Here is a 13,498-nt window from a genome sequence, read left to right on the forward strand (position 1 = left end):
TGAGGCACAGAGACACTAAATAATTTGCTCCAAGTTGTACAGCTATGTCAGACTCGGGAACCAAGCACAAGCAATCCAGTCTGATCTCCTAAATTCCTTATCATGATATCATTGTGTTTATTCCTAAAAAACTCCAAAGTCTGGGCTACAGAAAATTACACATGGATTTGAAGATTCAGAATCCTACCAAGAGTTAATTAACACAGGTTTATTAGTATAAATTCCATCCAACACCACCAGTTATTTGAATGTTAAGCATCATAGTACAAGTCTGTATGTTCACTAGGCAAAAATTCCAAAATATCTTCCCCAAACTGAATACTGACCAGTTAGAATTATTCTTTTCTCACAAGAAAGGCTAATGAGGGCTGTAGTTGTCTTAATGGCACTGTTCTTCAAACGATGCCCCTCGTCACAGATTAGAAGATCAAATTTTATATTCTTAATTTGATCCAGGGAACGAAGTAACATTTCATAACTGATAATAAGAACAGAATAAAATATAGACTTGATGAATTCTTCAACTTTGTGGTCCTGAGGAAAAAAGATAGTATTTTAAAAATCAGGAACAGAAACTATATGAAATCAAATTTAAGCAGCCTATTCCTGACAGTCACTTACTAAGAACTGGAATGTGTTAACTCTTTCTGTCTTAGTCAACTGAGGCTGCTATAAACAAAATACCATAGATTGGGTGGCTTAAACAACAGACATTTATTTCTCACAGTTCTGGTGGAAGGTCTAAGATCAGGGTGCTAGCATGGTTGGGTTCTGGTGAGAGCCCTCTTCCTGGCTTGCAGAAGAATGCTTTTTACTGTATCCTCACATGGTAAAGAAAGGAAGTTCTGGTGTCTCTTGCTCTGGTTACGGAGGCACTAATCTCATCACGTGGCTCTACCCTCACGACCTCATTTAAACCTAACTACCTCCCAAGCCCACCTCCTAATACTGCTATATTGAAAGTTAGGGTTTCAACATATGAATCTGGGGGACACAAACATTCAGTCCATAACAACTCAAAACCAAAATGTAAGCTAAAACTCCATTTTTGTGCAAAAGGGTTAGGGAGTTAACAAGTAAAAACTGAATTACTGATTTGAAAAACTAGATTTTTTTTAAATGACTAAGGCTAAACTTTTAAGTTTCTTACCTGATCAACAGTAAATATCTTGATCCTTTCACTTCCTAGCCATTTTTGAAATTCTTTCTTCCAATTATTCACCAAGCTTCCAGGTGTGACAATTAGTGTCTTCTTTATTACTGGCTTGCCTCCATAGGGTCCCTGACACTGCAGGGTCCAGATGAGCGAAATACATTGCAATGTCTTCCCTAAACCCATTTCATCAGCAAGAATAGCTCCACATCTGCCATTCATTCTGTTAGAAATAATTTTACTTCCTTTAATCACAATAGAAAAATATTTTATGCTCTTAAAATCATCAAGAACCAGAAACTGATATTTTGTAATGACACTGAAGACTTTTAGTACTTCATTAGCTGATTTACAACACATCTTTTGCATCTTTGATAATTATATCCATTACATATTGTCAACTAAATTACCAAAACATAAATCTGAAATTAGAGAGTTGAATCTAAATCATCTGCTACTATTACATGTACATATTTAGAGGCTAGAAATGAATTCCAATTTTATATCTGCATATGGATAATTTAACTATAACTGTGTTTCTCATCACTAAGAGTTGAGTGATTTTTATTGGTTTCAGATATCAAAACAGTTTAAAATATATTGTTGTATTATATTTAATCAGCAAGATCTACTGAGCTGTATTTTATGATTCTGTCAGTAAATGAAGTCCTCAACAAAAATAGCTCCCTGCATCATAAAAAAATTAAACACTAAACACTTGATATAATACATATAATTTAGTAAAAGTTGTTATCCTACAGACCTACTGTTATATAATTTAAAATTAAATGTTATTAGAGATATTATTAGTAAGACCATGTATTTTTATGCCACTTTATATTTTTAAAGACCTTAGAAGTGTATGTTTTATATTTTTAAAGTTAAGAAAGTCCAAGGGAATTAAGGATATTACCAAAATACATAAGTATACAGTTGACCACTGAACAAGAAGGGTTTGAACTGTGAAAGTCCACTTATATATGGGTTTTTTTCAATAAATGTTATAAATGAGTGTGCCTACCTCTCTTGCCTCCCTTCTATCTCCTCCACCTCTTCCGCCACCTCTGCCACTCCTGAGACAACCAAACCAACCCTTCCTCTTCCTCCTCTTCCTCAGCCTACTCAACATGATAAGGATGAAGAGCTTTATGATGATCCATTTCCTCTTAATGAATAGTAAATACATTTTCTCTTCCTTATGGTTTTCTTCATGCTTTCTTTTTTCTGGCTTTCTTGTAAAAATACAGTATATAATACATATATGAAATTATGTGTAAATTGAGTGTTTATGTTATCAGTAAGGCTTCCAGTCAACGGTAGTTTATTAGTTAAGTTTCTGCAAAAGTTATATGCAGATTTTTGACTACACAGTGGGTCAGCACCCCTAACTCCTGAGTTGTTCAAGAGTCAACTGTAGTTTGTCAGTTAATTGTATTTCTTCTTAGTAGAAATTAAGAACCAATATGCAATTTTATATATGTGTTCCATTTCAAGGTATAGAGAAAAAAATTACCAACATAAATTACGGCTACTATTTAGGTGGCTGTTTTAGATCAATACTTTGGCAACAAAGGACCAAATGTCAGCCCAATGAGATACAGTGAATAGCAAAGAGAAAATCCAGATTCATCCTTTCACGATAAAGAGAAGGGAGCAAACAGGAAGCCTTTATGGAGATGTACCTTGAGCAAAATTGTAAAGGGTAAATAATTACTACACTAATTAGGCAGCTGAATATAGTTGGAGCTTGAACTGAAAAATATGAAGCTAGCACGGCAGGTAGAAGACAAAAGATGAGGATACTTAACCTTGAGAGTTTAGACTGTATCTTATATATCAGCATCTCCCAAACACCAGTATTTCATGACTACCATCACGATTTGTTGTCATATCTGTGATACTATATGTTATTTATGATTTTTCTTCAAATCATTTTAACTTAAATTTGAAAAGAAAACTCTTTCTAAGCATAATTTATCTGTGAAACCAAAAGTTTAATGTGCTATTTTTCTTTTTTTTTTTTTTCCTCTCCAGACGGAGTCTTGCTCTGTCATCCAGGCTGGAGTGCAGTGGCGCTATCTTGGCTCACTGCAACCTCCGCCTCCTGGATTCAAGTGATTCTCCTGCCTCAGCCTCCTGAGTAGCTAGGATTATAGGTGCCTGCCACCACACCCAGCTAATTTTTGTATTTTTAGTAGAGACGGGATTTCACCATGTTAGCCAGGCTAGTCTTGAACTCCTGACCTCAAGTGATCCGCCTGCCTTGGCCTCCGAAAATGCTGGGATTACAGGTGTAAGCCACCATGCCCAGCCTATTTTTCCAATAATTAACTAAATATGCTACTATTCAAATTTTTTTAAAGGCTTGTCCACTTGCCACCTCAAAATGGTCCCATATACTGCCAGTGGAGTAGGGATCACAGTTTGGGAAACACTGTTCTAAGTTCTGAGAGTCTCTGAATGATTTTAAATAAGGGAATGCCATGTTCAGAACTGTTTTTCAGAAAACTCAAGATGGTGGCTTTAAGTAGAATACATTATTTGAGAAGCATCAGAAGCAAATATACAGGTTAGAAGCCATTGCAATAGTCTAGATAAAATATGATATTTTTATGACATCGGTTACTAGAGATGCTGCAGTGGAATGACAGAAAAGATTAGGAAACAATATTTAGGAGGTTAAAATAATTAAAAGTTCAGGTTTGACTAGATTCAGAATGTGAGAGAGAAGAAATCAAAGATGATTCACAGACCAACTGAGATAAGACCTTCGAAAGAAAAAGCAGATTTGGGAGGAAATATGAGTCTAGTTAACAGTTTCTGGAAGACAGTATTCCCTTAACTTGTCATCATTCAAGGAGTTCTTAGAGTTGGGGAGAATTTCATTTCCAACTACCTTTAAAGGACAAATTTTAAAATCAAGGGTCTTGGCATTTAAAAACAAGGCAAAACAAAACCAAAACAAATAAACAAAAAAGACTGGAAGAAATGTTAGCAGGGGCCTTTGATTCTTTTTTTCTCCTGTTTTTTTGTGTCCTCTAAAATATCTTTAAGATACTACTATTCTTTAATCAGAAAATGCAAAAAGGAAGAAGAAACTTTTTTCTATTTTCAGATGTAGAGACAGAAGAAAATCTTTTTCCAAAATTCTCATAACCAGGTGCAGTGGCTCATGCCTGTAATCCTAGCACTTTGGGAGGCTGAGGTGGGTGGATCTCTTGAGGTCAAGAGTTCAAGACCAGCCTGGCCAACATGGTGAAACCCCGTCTCTACTAAAAATACAAAAATTAGCCAGGCATGGTGGAGCACGCCTGTAATCCTAGCTACTCAGGAGGCTGAGATGCAAGAATCACTTGAACTTGGGAGATGGAGATTGCAGTGAGCCAAGATAACGCCATTGCACTCCAGTCTGGGCAACATAGTAAGACTCCGTCTCCAAAAAAAAAAAAAAATTCTTATAACCAGAATTAAAAGCCTCTTTCACTTGCTCTTATGACCCTTTACCACACTAGCAGTCGGTAAGCTTTTATTATACCACATTAAGGTCAATTGCATTTATCTGTTTACTCAAATACTTTAAAAGCCACTTAAAAGTAAGGACCGTGGTCCTGATTCCCATATGCCCACCTCCTAGCAGTATGTTTGGCACGTGGCATCTATCAAGAACCACTTTTGGAATAAATGCACACAGTAAGCACTATTCACCTTTCCTACCAATTGAAATTCATAGTGTACCCTCAGGACTCATTATATTAGGATCTTCTTAGAAAACCATTATTGTGTTACAGGTTAAATCAAAATTCAGATTAGATTAAACAAATGATTTATTTTCCTACCTCATTCCCATTACACATTCATAAAGGAATATGATTCCTTCTTTCTGATGTGGTCGAAGATGATATACAAGGTAAGGATCAATCACTACATCCACAAGAGGGAAACAGTTCTTATTGAATACCCACTGGTGATTCTTATCTGGTCGTGGCATAACGAGGGAATCTTAAAAAATGATAAAAGTACAAGTATTGTAATTTCACTTTTTCAGCAACCAACATTATCTTGTTTTCATTACCCTAAGATAGAAATGTTTGCCATCATTTGTGGCCAAAAAAGTCCAAAATTTAGTCACAGTAATGTTACCCAAGGGCACAAAATTTAAAAAGAAAATCTCATGCCTTACTGATGAACGATTTCATGCAAAGAATTACGAAGAGCCTTCCAAACTTCATATACCCAAAAGTGCTTCGAAAGCAATGAAATTCACTATTGTCTAGTAAGGAATTCAATAAGCCACAACATTGAATAGTTCAGTATTCAGAGCAAAGAGAACTATTTCCAACTGAAAGTACAGGTTGGAATTTTGCCAAGATGCATTTGCCAATGTTCACAGCTTCTCATTCTGAAAAGTCTCCCCAAATTTAACATACAGGCTTTCTATCTTTTCAGTCCTAAACACACTAACAATGATCATTACTCCTATTAATTAGAACTGAGAAAAAATGATAAATTCTCCATTGACTTAGCCACCATTATTTGCTTGAAGTTAATTACTACATTCATGAATGTCAAGTTCATAAAGCTTTTTTTTCTGGGGACAGAGTATCACTCTGTTGCCCAGGGTGGAGTGCAGTGGTGTGATCTCAGCTCACTGCAACCTCCGCCTCCCAGGTTCAAGCAATTCTCGTGCCTCAGCCTCCCAAGTACCTGGGATTACAGGTTCGCGCCACCACACCCGGCTAATTTTTGTATTTTTAACAGAGGCAAGGTTTCACCATGTTAGCCAGGCTGGTCACGAACTCCTGACCTCAAGTGATCTGCCCACCTCAGCCTCCCAAAGTGCTGGGATTAAAGGCATGAGCCACTGCACCCAGCCTCATGAACCTCTTTAAAGCAGCATGAAGTCATCATAGAATAACAATGTAATTCTTCAAAACTATGCTAACACAATTTAAAAGATTTACTAAAATATCACCCAAAAAGGCAAAATCAAATATAACTAGAAGGCAGGTCTCAATTGATAAATCTGAAATTAGATAATAAACCCACCAAAATTATTTTGGGGATATATTTGCATGCCTACATCATGTTTATAAAAATTGAATTAGATAAAAAAAGAAAAAAGAATGAGGAGATGAGAAGAGGAGATAAAAAGAAATAGACTCCAGTAGACTATGTAAATATTCATCAGTGTGGAACTATACTGTCACAGGAATAAGAGTTTAGTCATGTTTACCATTAACAAATACCCAGAGGGTAAGTTTTCTCTGGATCTTCCTAGGTTTCTGAGTAACTGAAATGAACTTTCATCTTTGAGGTCAATTCCTGTTAGGTAGGAGACTAGGAAGTAAAAATGGGAAATGTAGTCCTTGGCTTTCCTCTATATCACTGTAGCAAAGTAAGAGTGTGCTCCTTGTGGATTTCCAGTCAAGAAATGGCCCCGTTATTTTTCTATCTTTTAAAAAGGACAACAAGGAAAAAGAGAAGATAGAGGTGAAAAATCACATACTGCCCAAGCAAAAAGGACTATAGGATTATAAATCACCTAATAAAAGGCCCATCTTCAAGAAAGAGAAACCTAAACAGTCAAAATCATAGAACACTAGTTCAAATTTTAAGATGTTTCTTTATCTTCACAATGATGAAGACGATCATTTAATATTAACAACATGTCTGAGGCATTAAAGTCTACAACCTAATTCTATCCTTGGCTAAGATAAATACATAAGAATAATTAACCATTTACTATTTACCTGAAGTGCTTTTACACACACACACACACACACACACATATATATAAAATTCACATGTACACATATATATACATTTACATCACATACACACAACACATAAATGCCACAATAAAATGTTTCATTCACTCACTCAACAAGTATTTCCTGGAAAGAGTATATACTAGACACTCTAAATCTCTACGGTGGTTATTAGGACCCACGTTTTACACATGAGTAGGCAAAACATTAGGAAGGTTAGTGACTACCCCCAAGAGGTCAAAGAACCAGTTAGTTCAGTGGCAAAACCATGATTCTTACTCAGATCTCTGAATAAGCACAGTATTCTTTTCAGTTCCCCACAGCCCTGTATTGTGTAATAGTAAAAGTACAAAGAGAAAGGAGAATAAAGAGGAGGGGGATTGTTAAAAGAGCTGGTGGGACAGACAAAATATTTGGACAAAAAGAGAAAATTCAGCTGCATCAGCTTCCACTGCCTGTATTTCAACTAAGTCTTTGGGATAAGCTAATATAGAACTCAGAATTTTTAATTGTGGGGTTTTGTCCCAATAATGCCGTTGATTATTTGTATTTAGGTAAGTCGGTTCATCTTCCTGGGCCTCAGTTTTCTCCAATGCAAAGTGAAGAGACGAATCTAAATGATCTCAAAGGCCTCTTTACTTCAAAACTTATGTTTCCATAATACTTGCAATGGGGAAAAATAATCATTACTTTATATACTTGCTGTTGTGAGGAAAGAAGTCACCTCTATGTCTCAACTTTCACATCTACTACACTATACTTTGATTCGGATTACTTGTCCTTCCCCTCACCAAATGAGAAGCTCTGTGATGACAGTTTTATCTTTAGGCCCAACCCATAAAAGGCAATCAAGAAATACCTGCTGAGTGAACAGTCAAAAGAACAATCAGATACAATCTAGGTTTCTTTTTTTTTAATGTGATTTTTAAAATTGCATTCATCAGTGTGAAAATTAACTGATTGAATGGAACTTTCACTAGTAAAATTTGGACTTTGCATGAAATCTTACCATTCAATATTTTTACACACTAATGCTTGTGATCAAGGCATACAGTCCTCAAATTAGAAGTATAATCATAGTCCAGATTAATACATTTACTAATTTCTCTCCTTACTAAAAAGTCAGATTTTATTCAAAATTATACACATGTATGTGTAATGTATACACATACAATTTAGATATGTTTCCTTCAACACATGTACAGTATTTTTATTACTGTATTCTTAGAATTATTCATTTACATATGAAATAATTCCCAAACTATATTGTTATTTGACTTCAACATTATCTCTTATGTCAGATTATATATCTCAAGAATAATGTATACTTTCACCTAAAACTTTTAAAACAAAATTTAAACTTCAAATTCACACACAAAAAACATTTTGACAGTAAAAACAGAAAATTCAAATTATTTTTAAAATCTTACTTGGCGTATATGGGTCATGGCGTGGTTTGCAATTTTGGAAATCATTCTGTCTATTTTCCTTTGAACTTGGTTTACAAACACTTTTGAAAGGGTTAGAGAAACATTTCCTGGCAACCTGAGAAGAATGCGAGATAGCAGTACTTCCTCCTCCAAGCTGAAAACACCTGCCACTGCTGAAGTCATCTGGAGAGATTACACCCATGACTTCTATTTCTTTTCCACAAATCATCAGTGTTTGGCCCTCTTCAATCTTTTCAAGCTCTTTGAATTTATAACCAATGCCTTTAAGTTAAGAAAGAAAAAAATTAATTGACACTCTATGATACCACGGTCACCTTCCCGTAACTGTACAAAAAAACTGCACTTTGAATGTAAATAGTCTTATATAATGCATTAGCCAAAATGGAAGCATAATTTAACATTTTGGTTAAAAAAAACATTGAAAATCAAAAGAAATAATACAGCTATCAAATTAGCCATGCTTTAGAGAAAGCAAGAATTTTTTTACTATTGAAAATATAGATTATTGTACTCTATAGTTTTGCCATCTCTTGTCCGGAAAAATTAAGCCAAGAAAATAGTTTGATAGGCTATATGTATCCTCCTTTCTTGTAAATAAACTACAGAAACATCATGGTACCTCTATTTTCACTTAGAAACAGCTAGAAATGTGAAGGAGAACTAGCAATAAAAGCAACTGCTACCACAACTAGTACTGACTGTTCCACATGAGATAGCAAAGTTAAAATACAGTTGTGGCAAGAGGTCACAGATATTCCATGTTCTAACTCTTTAATAAAACATGGAATATTTTGTAATATTAAGCTTGTTTGAATTATTATTAATTTGATGAACATTTATTAAGTGTTGCTGTGTAAAGGTGCTGATGAAATATAAGTATGGATAAGTCAGTCATGGGCTGCTTAAAATGAGTTCACTAACCACATAGATGGCATTTTAGACTTCCATGCTTGTCTATTAAATGCATTAAACTATTAAATGTGTAGTTATTGTGCCATTACCAAGCAAAGGAGCTGTGTATACCAGAAACTTTTAAGTCTCTAAAAATAATAATAAAAGACTGCCACATTTTAGAAAATATGATGACCCTTTTCAAGTAGTTGAAAATTACTAAAATTTTCTCTACTGAAACTGGCCTAAAATTTATAATCTGTGCCAATCTGTATTTAATATATAGTCTTAAATTATTTATGGTGGAATACTTTTTAATTGTAATGCTCTGATATAGGAAGAAATTACTTAGCTCAATGTCAAAGACCCATCACTCCATCCCAAATCAGTATTGGTCTTCACTTATCCAAATTAATGAAGATTATAGTTTTATCTTCACATAAAATCCAATTACTGTTAATCTCAGTTTTACATGGAAATGGAAGACAAGAATAACCTTTTAACTTTGAGGTACCTTTAAAGTAGCTCTAATTCCAAGATCTCTCATTTCATTTAGATCCATAGATGATCTTGATCCAAAGGTGACTCTTTCAAACATCTCAGTCGCTAGAAGCTTTTCTTTTACTCTTAAACTTTGTTTCACATACTGGTTTTTTTTTTTTCCTAGGTATTATGCAATGATGGCCAACTGAGCCTGATGCATTATCACAAGCTATTAGCAATTTTAGCATTCCAGCTTTCAGTTTTCTTAGCACCTCTATCTTTACATTAACAAATTTACATATTGTATATCCCAGTTATTTAAAAGAAAAACTGCTTATAGACAGTAACTTGCAAAATTAACTTCAGGTTAATACATTTATTAATGTTATAATTAAGCAACCAAGTCCTATGTTTGGATATTTTCATTTTGAAAACCCTAAAATATACCTATGTTCAGTCCCTCTCCCTACCATACAGGCCAAATAAATCAGAGCCTCAAAGAAAGGTCAGAGTCTGGGCATCGGCATTTCTTTTCTTTTTCTTTCTTTTTTTTTTTTAAGAGACAGGGTCTCTCCAGCCCAGGCTGGAGTGCAGTGGCAGGATCAAGGCTCACTGCAGCCTCGATCTCCTGGGTTCAAGCAATCTTCCTGCCTCAGTCTCCCAAGTAGTTAGAGTTACAGATGCATGCCACTACACCTGGTTAATTTATTTTTTTGTATAGACAAGGTCTTGCTAAGTTGCCCAGGCTGGTCTCGAACTTAGCCTCAAGCAATCCTTCCCCATCAGCCTCCCAAAGTGCTGAGATTACAGGCGTGAGCCACTACACCCTTAAAAGCACCTCAGATGATTCTACTGGCATGGTCAGGGTAAAAACCCACTGTTTTAAGCCTAATTTTCATTTTTTGTTACTTGCAACTGAAAGATCATTTTATTATAAACTACACATATGCAAAACCATGCACACTATACCTTAGGGGTAAAAGATATTCCAAAGTAATTGTGATAATTTTTCCTCTCTCACTGACTTTAGAATTTCACTAAAGAGGCAATACCAATGCATGAACAAATTCTCCAAAAATCTAGCCCCAATCGACCTTAACCAACATAGAATGTGTACTATCTATTTTTCTTTTTACTTCCCCAATCACTATACACAGTTGTTCCATATTTTTATAATAAATAAAACATTCTATTGTAGATAATTTAGTTTGCTTCAACTCTTAACACTGTCACGGCCTTTCATACACTACATTCCTGAAACACTGAACTAGTTTGAATTCCTTCCTGCTTTTGTGCCTTTACATGTGCTATTCTCTCTTGCACATGGCCCTTACCTATAACCTCCAAAACTATTCATCCTTCAAATAGTATCTTAAACGGTAACTCCTATCAAGCTTACCCCTAGCCTCCTGTGCAGATTAAATGGTTCTTTTATGCTCCCACTGCTTCCTGGGCAGATTAAATGGTTCTTTTATGCTCCAACTGCATTTAGTAAAACTTCTCATTGAAACAACTGTATTATTGCTTCCTAATCATCAATTACTTTGCTTTGTTCCCACTAAATTATAAATTATAATCATCTTTGGTATTCCTAGCATACTGCCTGGCACATAATAGTTATTAAAAACTATAAACTATATTTTTAAGTAAATAAACATGTAGAACAGATTTTATAGTTATAGGTCACACTCAAAATTGAACTGAGACAATGCAAAGACACTGTAGTTGGTGTTAGCCATTCTTAATTTGTAGCCTAACTTGTATTACTACAAATTATGCTGGCAACATTTTGTAACAGAAACAATGGCAACCTCCAATTTCCATATGTTAATCTAGGTCAGGCCTAACCATTATCTCCTTGCTCTGTTTTTCAAAACATTATTGAGTAGTGCTGAAATTACATATCATTCAACTTGATATCAACATATTTTTCAATTTTAACCACTTAGCATTCTTAAAAAGAGAGAGAGAGAAAGTATACCAAGTCAAATTTAGTGTTTAAGCTCAGAAAAGTACCAAAATAACTATATATAGCTGGCTGGCCATTTTTGGAGAAAATGAAACCATAGGATAGGATTTGCTTCACTGAGCTAGCATAAACCATAAGATTGTCAGGCTCACTAACCATTATGAGATTATTTTATGTATTATACACAGTTGAGGCATGAACATCCATTAAAGAATACCTTATCATCTCTTTATAAAACCCAATTACATTTCAATTATGTAACCGGAGATACATACTAATTTCAGGCCAAACTGTAAACATTAGGTAGTATCATAATACCTCTTCCAATGTCTTTGCCTTCCAAATTCTTTAATATAAATGACTTTCCTTTTACAATAAGAACAGCATCACCTTCCCACTTTTTATGTTTTTTCTTTGAAGGCTTACACCAAACAACACTGAAATATTTAACTAGGCTATCAGATTTCTCTTCTTGTTCCTTGGACACTGCTACTTCTTTAGGAGCCGAATGAACTACAATTAAAAAAAAAACACACATTATTAAAAATGACTTTAATGTCTAAGTAGTAAGGTCATTCAAACAAAACCAAAAGGCACAAGAAAATTAGATTATATTAAGAAATAGTATGAAAGAATATTTGATCATACTCATGTTAGCATTTTATAAACTAAGAAATCCAAATATCAGGTGTTAATATTACCAGATGAGTATAATTACTACAAATGTCTTACTGTTCCGAAGTCAAATAAACTCAAATGAAGTAGAATAACATAATAATCACTGTAAACATTTTAAAACTCTAAAAATTAAGAAATTATTTCAATGTCTATAGCATGGAAAAATATCTAAAATCACATTTTGACAAAACTGATTTAATTAAGTAACATGACAAGCTGAGGAAAGGCAAAGATTACAGAGTTCTCTGAAAGTAAAACCTGAAATTTTTGTTTATTTAATTGATAAACAAAAATTATATATATGTAGGTGCACAACATTCTGTTTTGATATATGTATACACTGTGGGATGGCTAAATCAAACTAATTAATATTATCCATTACCTCACATACTTTTTGTGGTGAAAACATTTTTTAAAATGCTACTTTCTTAGCATTTTTCAAGTATACATTGTTATTAACTATAGTCACCATGTTATACAATAGATTTCTTGAACTTATTCCTCCTTAACTGAAATTTCGGATCCTTTGACCAACATCTCCCCAATGCCCCACCTCTATCCAACTCTAGGTAACCATCATTCTACTTTCTGTTTCTAAGAGTTTGACTTTTTTGAATTCCACACATAAGTGAGATCACACAATAATTGTCTTTCTGTGTCCAGCTTATTTCACTGAGCATAATGTCCTCCGGGTTTACCCATGTTGTCACAAGTGACAGGATTGCCTTCTTTTTAAAGGCTGAGTAGTGTTCTACTGTGTACCTATACCAAGAAGTTTTTAATCCATTCATCCATTGATGGACACTTAAGTTGACTTCACATCTTGGCTACTGTGAAAAATACTCCAAGGAACATGGGAATGCAGATATCTCTTCAACATGCCAATTTCATTTTTTTTTTTTTTGGCTATATACCCAGAAGTGAAAGTGTTGGATCATATGATATGTTACTTTTTCAAATAAGAACAAGTATAAAACAGCAAAGTAGAAATGAGAATAAATATTATTAAAATTACGTTGTCTCCTGCTTCTTACACCTAACTTGCACACACTAGATTTTCAGTGGCTGGATAAAAGGTGGTTTAGCTGAAGACAGCAAAATCTCA

General features: G+C 34.4%; 1 protein-coding gene across 2 annotated transcripts in view; it reads right to left on the reverse strand.

Moving 5' to 3' along the window:
* Positions 1-13,498, reverse strand: part of RAD54B (RAD54 homolog B) — a 103,156-nt gene that overhangs the window by 27,128 nt on the left and 62,530 nt on the right. For both annotated transcript variants that reach the window (NM_012415.3, NM_001205263.2), the window contains 5 exons: positions 12,034-12,228; positions 8,352-8,633; positions 4,990-5,152; positions 1,151-1,376; positions 327-534 (listed from right to left, as the gene is read on the reverse strand). In NM_012415.3, coding sequence (NP_036547.1) covers positions 327-534; positions 1,151-1,376; positions 4,990-5,152; positions 8,352-8,633; positions 12,034-12,228 — 1,074 coding nt within the window. The remainder of the gene's footprint in view (positions 1-326; positions 535-1,150; positions 1,377-4,989; positions 5,153-8,351; positions 8,634-12,033; positions 12,229-13,498) is intronic.

Source organism: Homo sapiens, chromosome 8 (assembly GCF_000001405.40).
Source record: "Homo sapiens chromosome 8, GRCh38.p14 Primary Assembly".
Classification (NCBI taxonomy): Eukaryota; Metazoa; Chordata; class Mammalia; order Primates; family Hominidae; genus Homo; species Homo sapiens.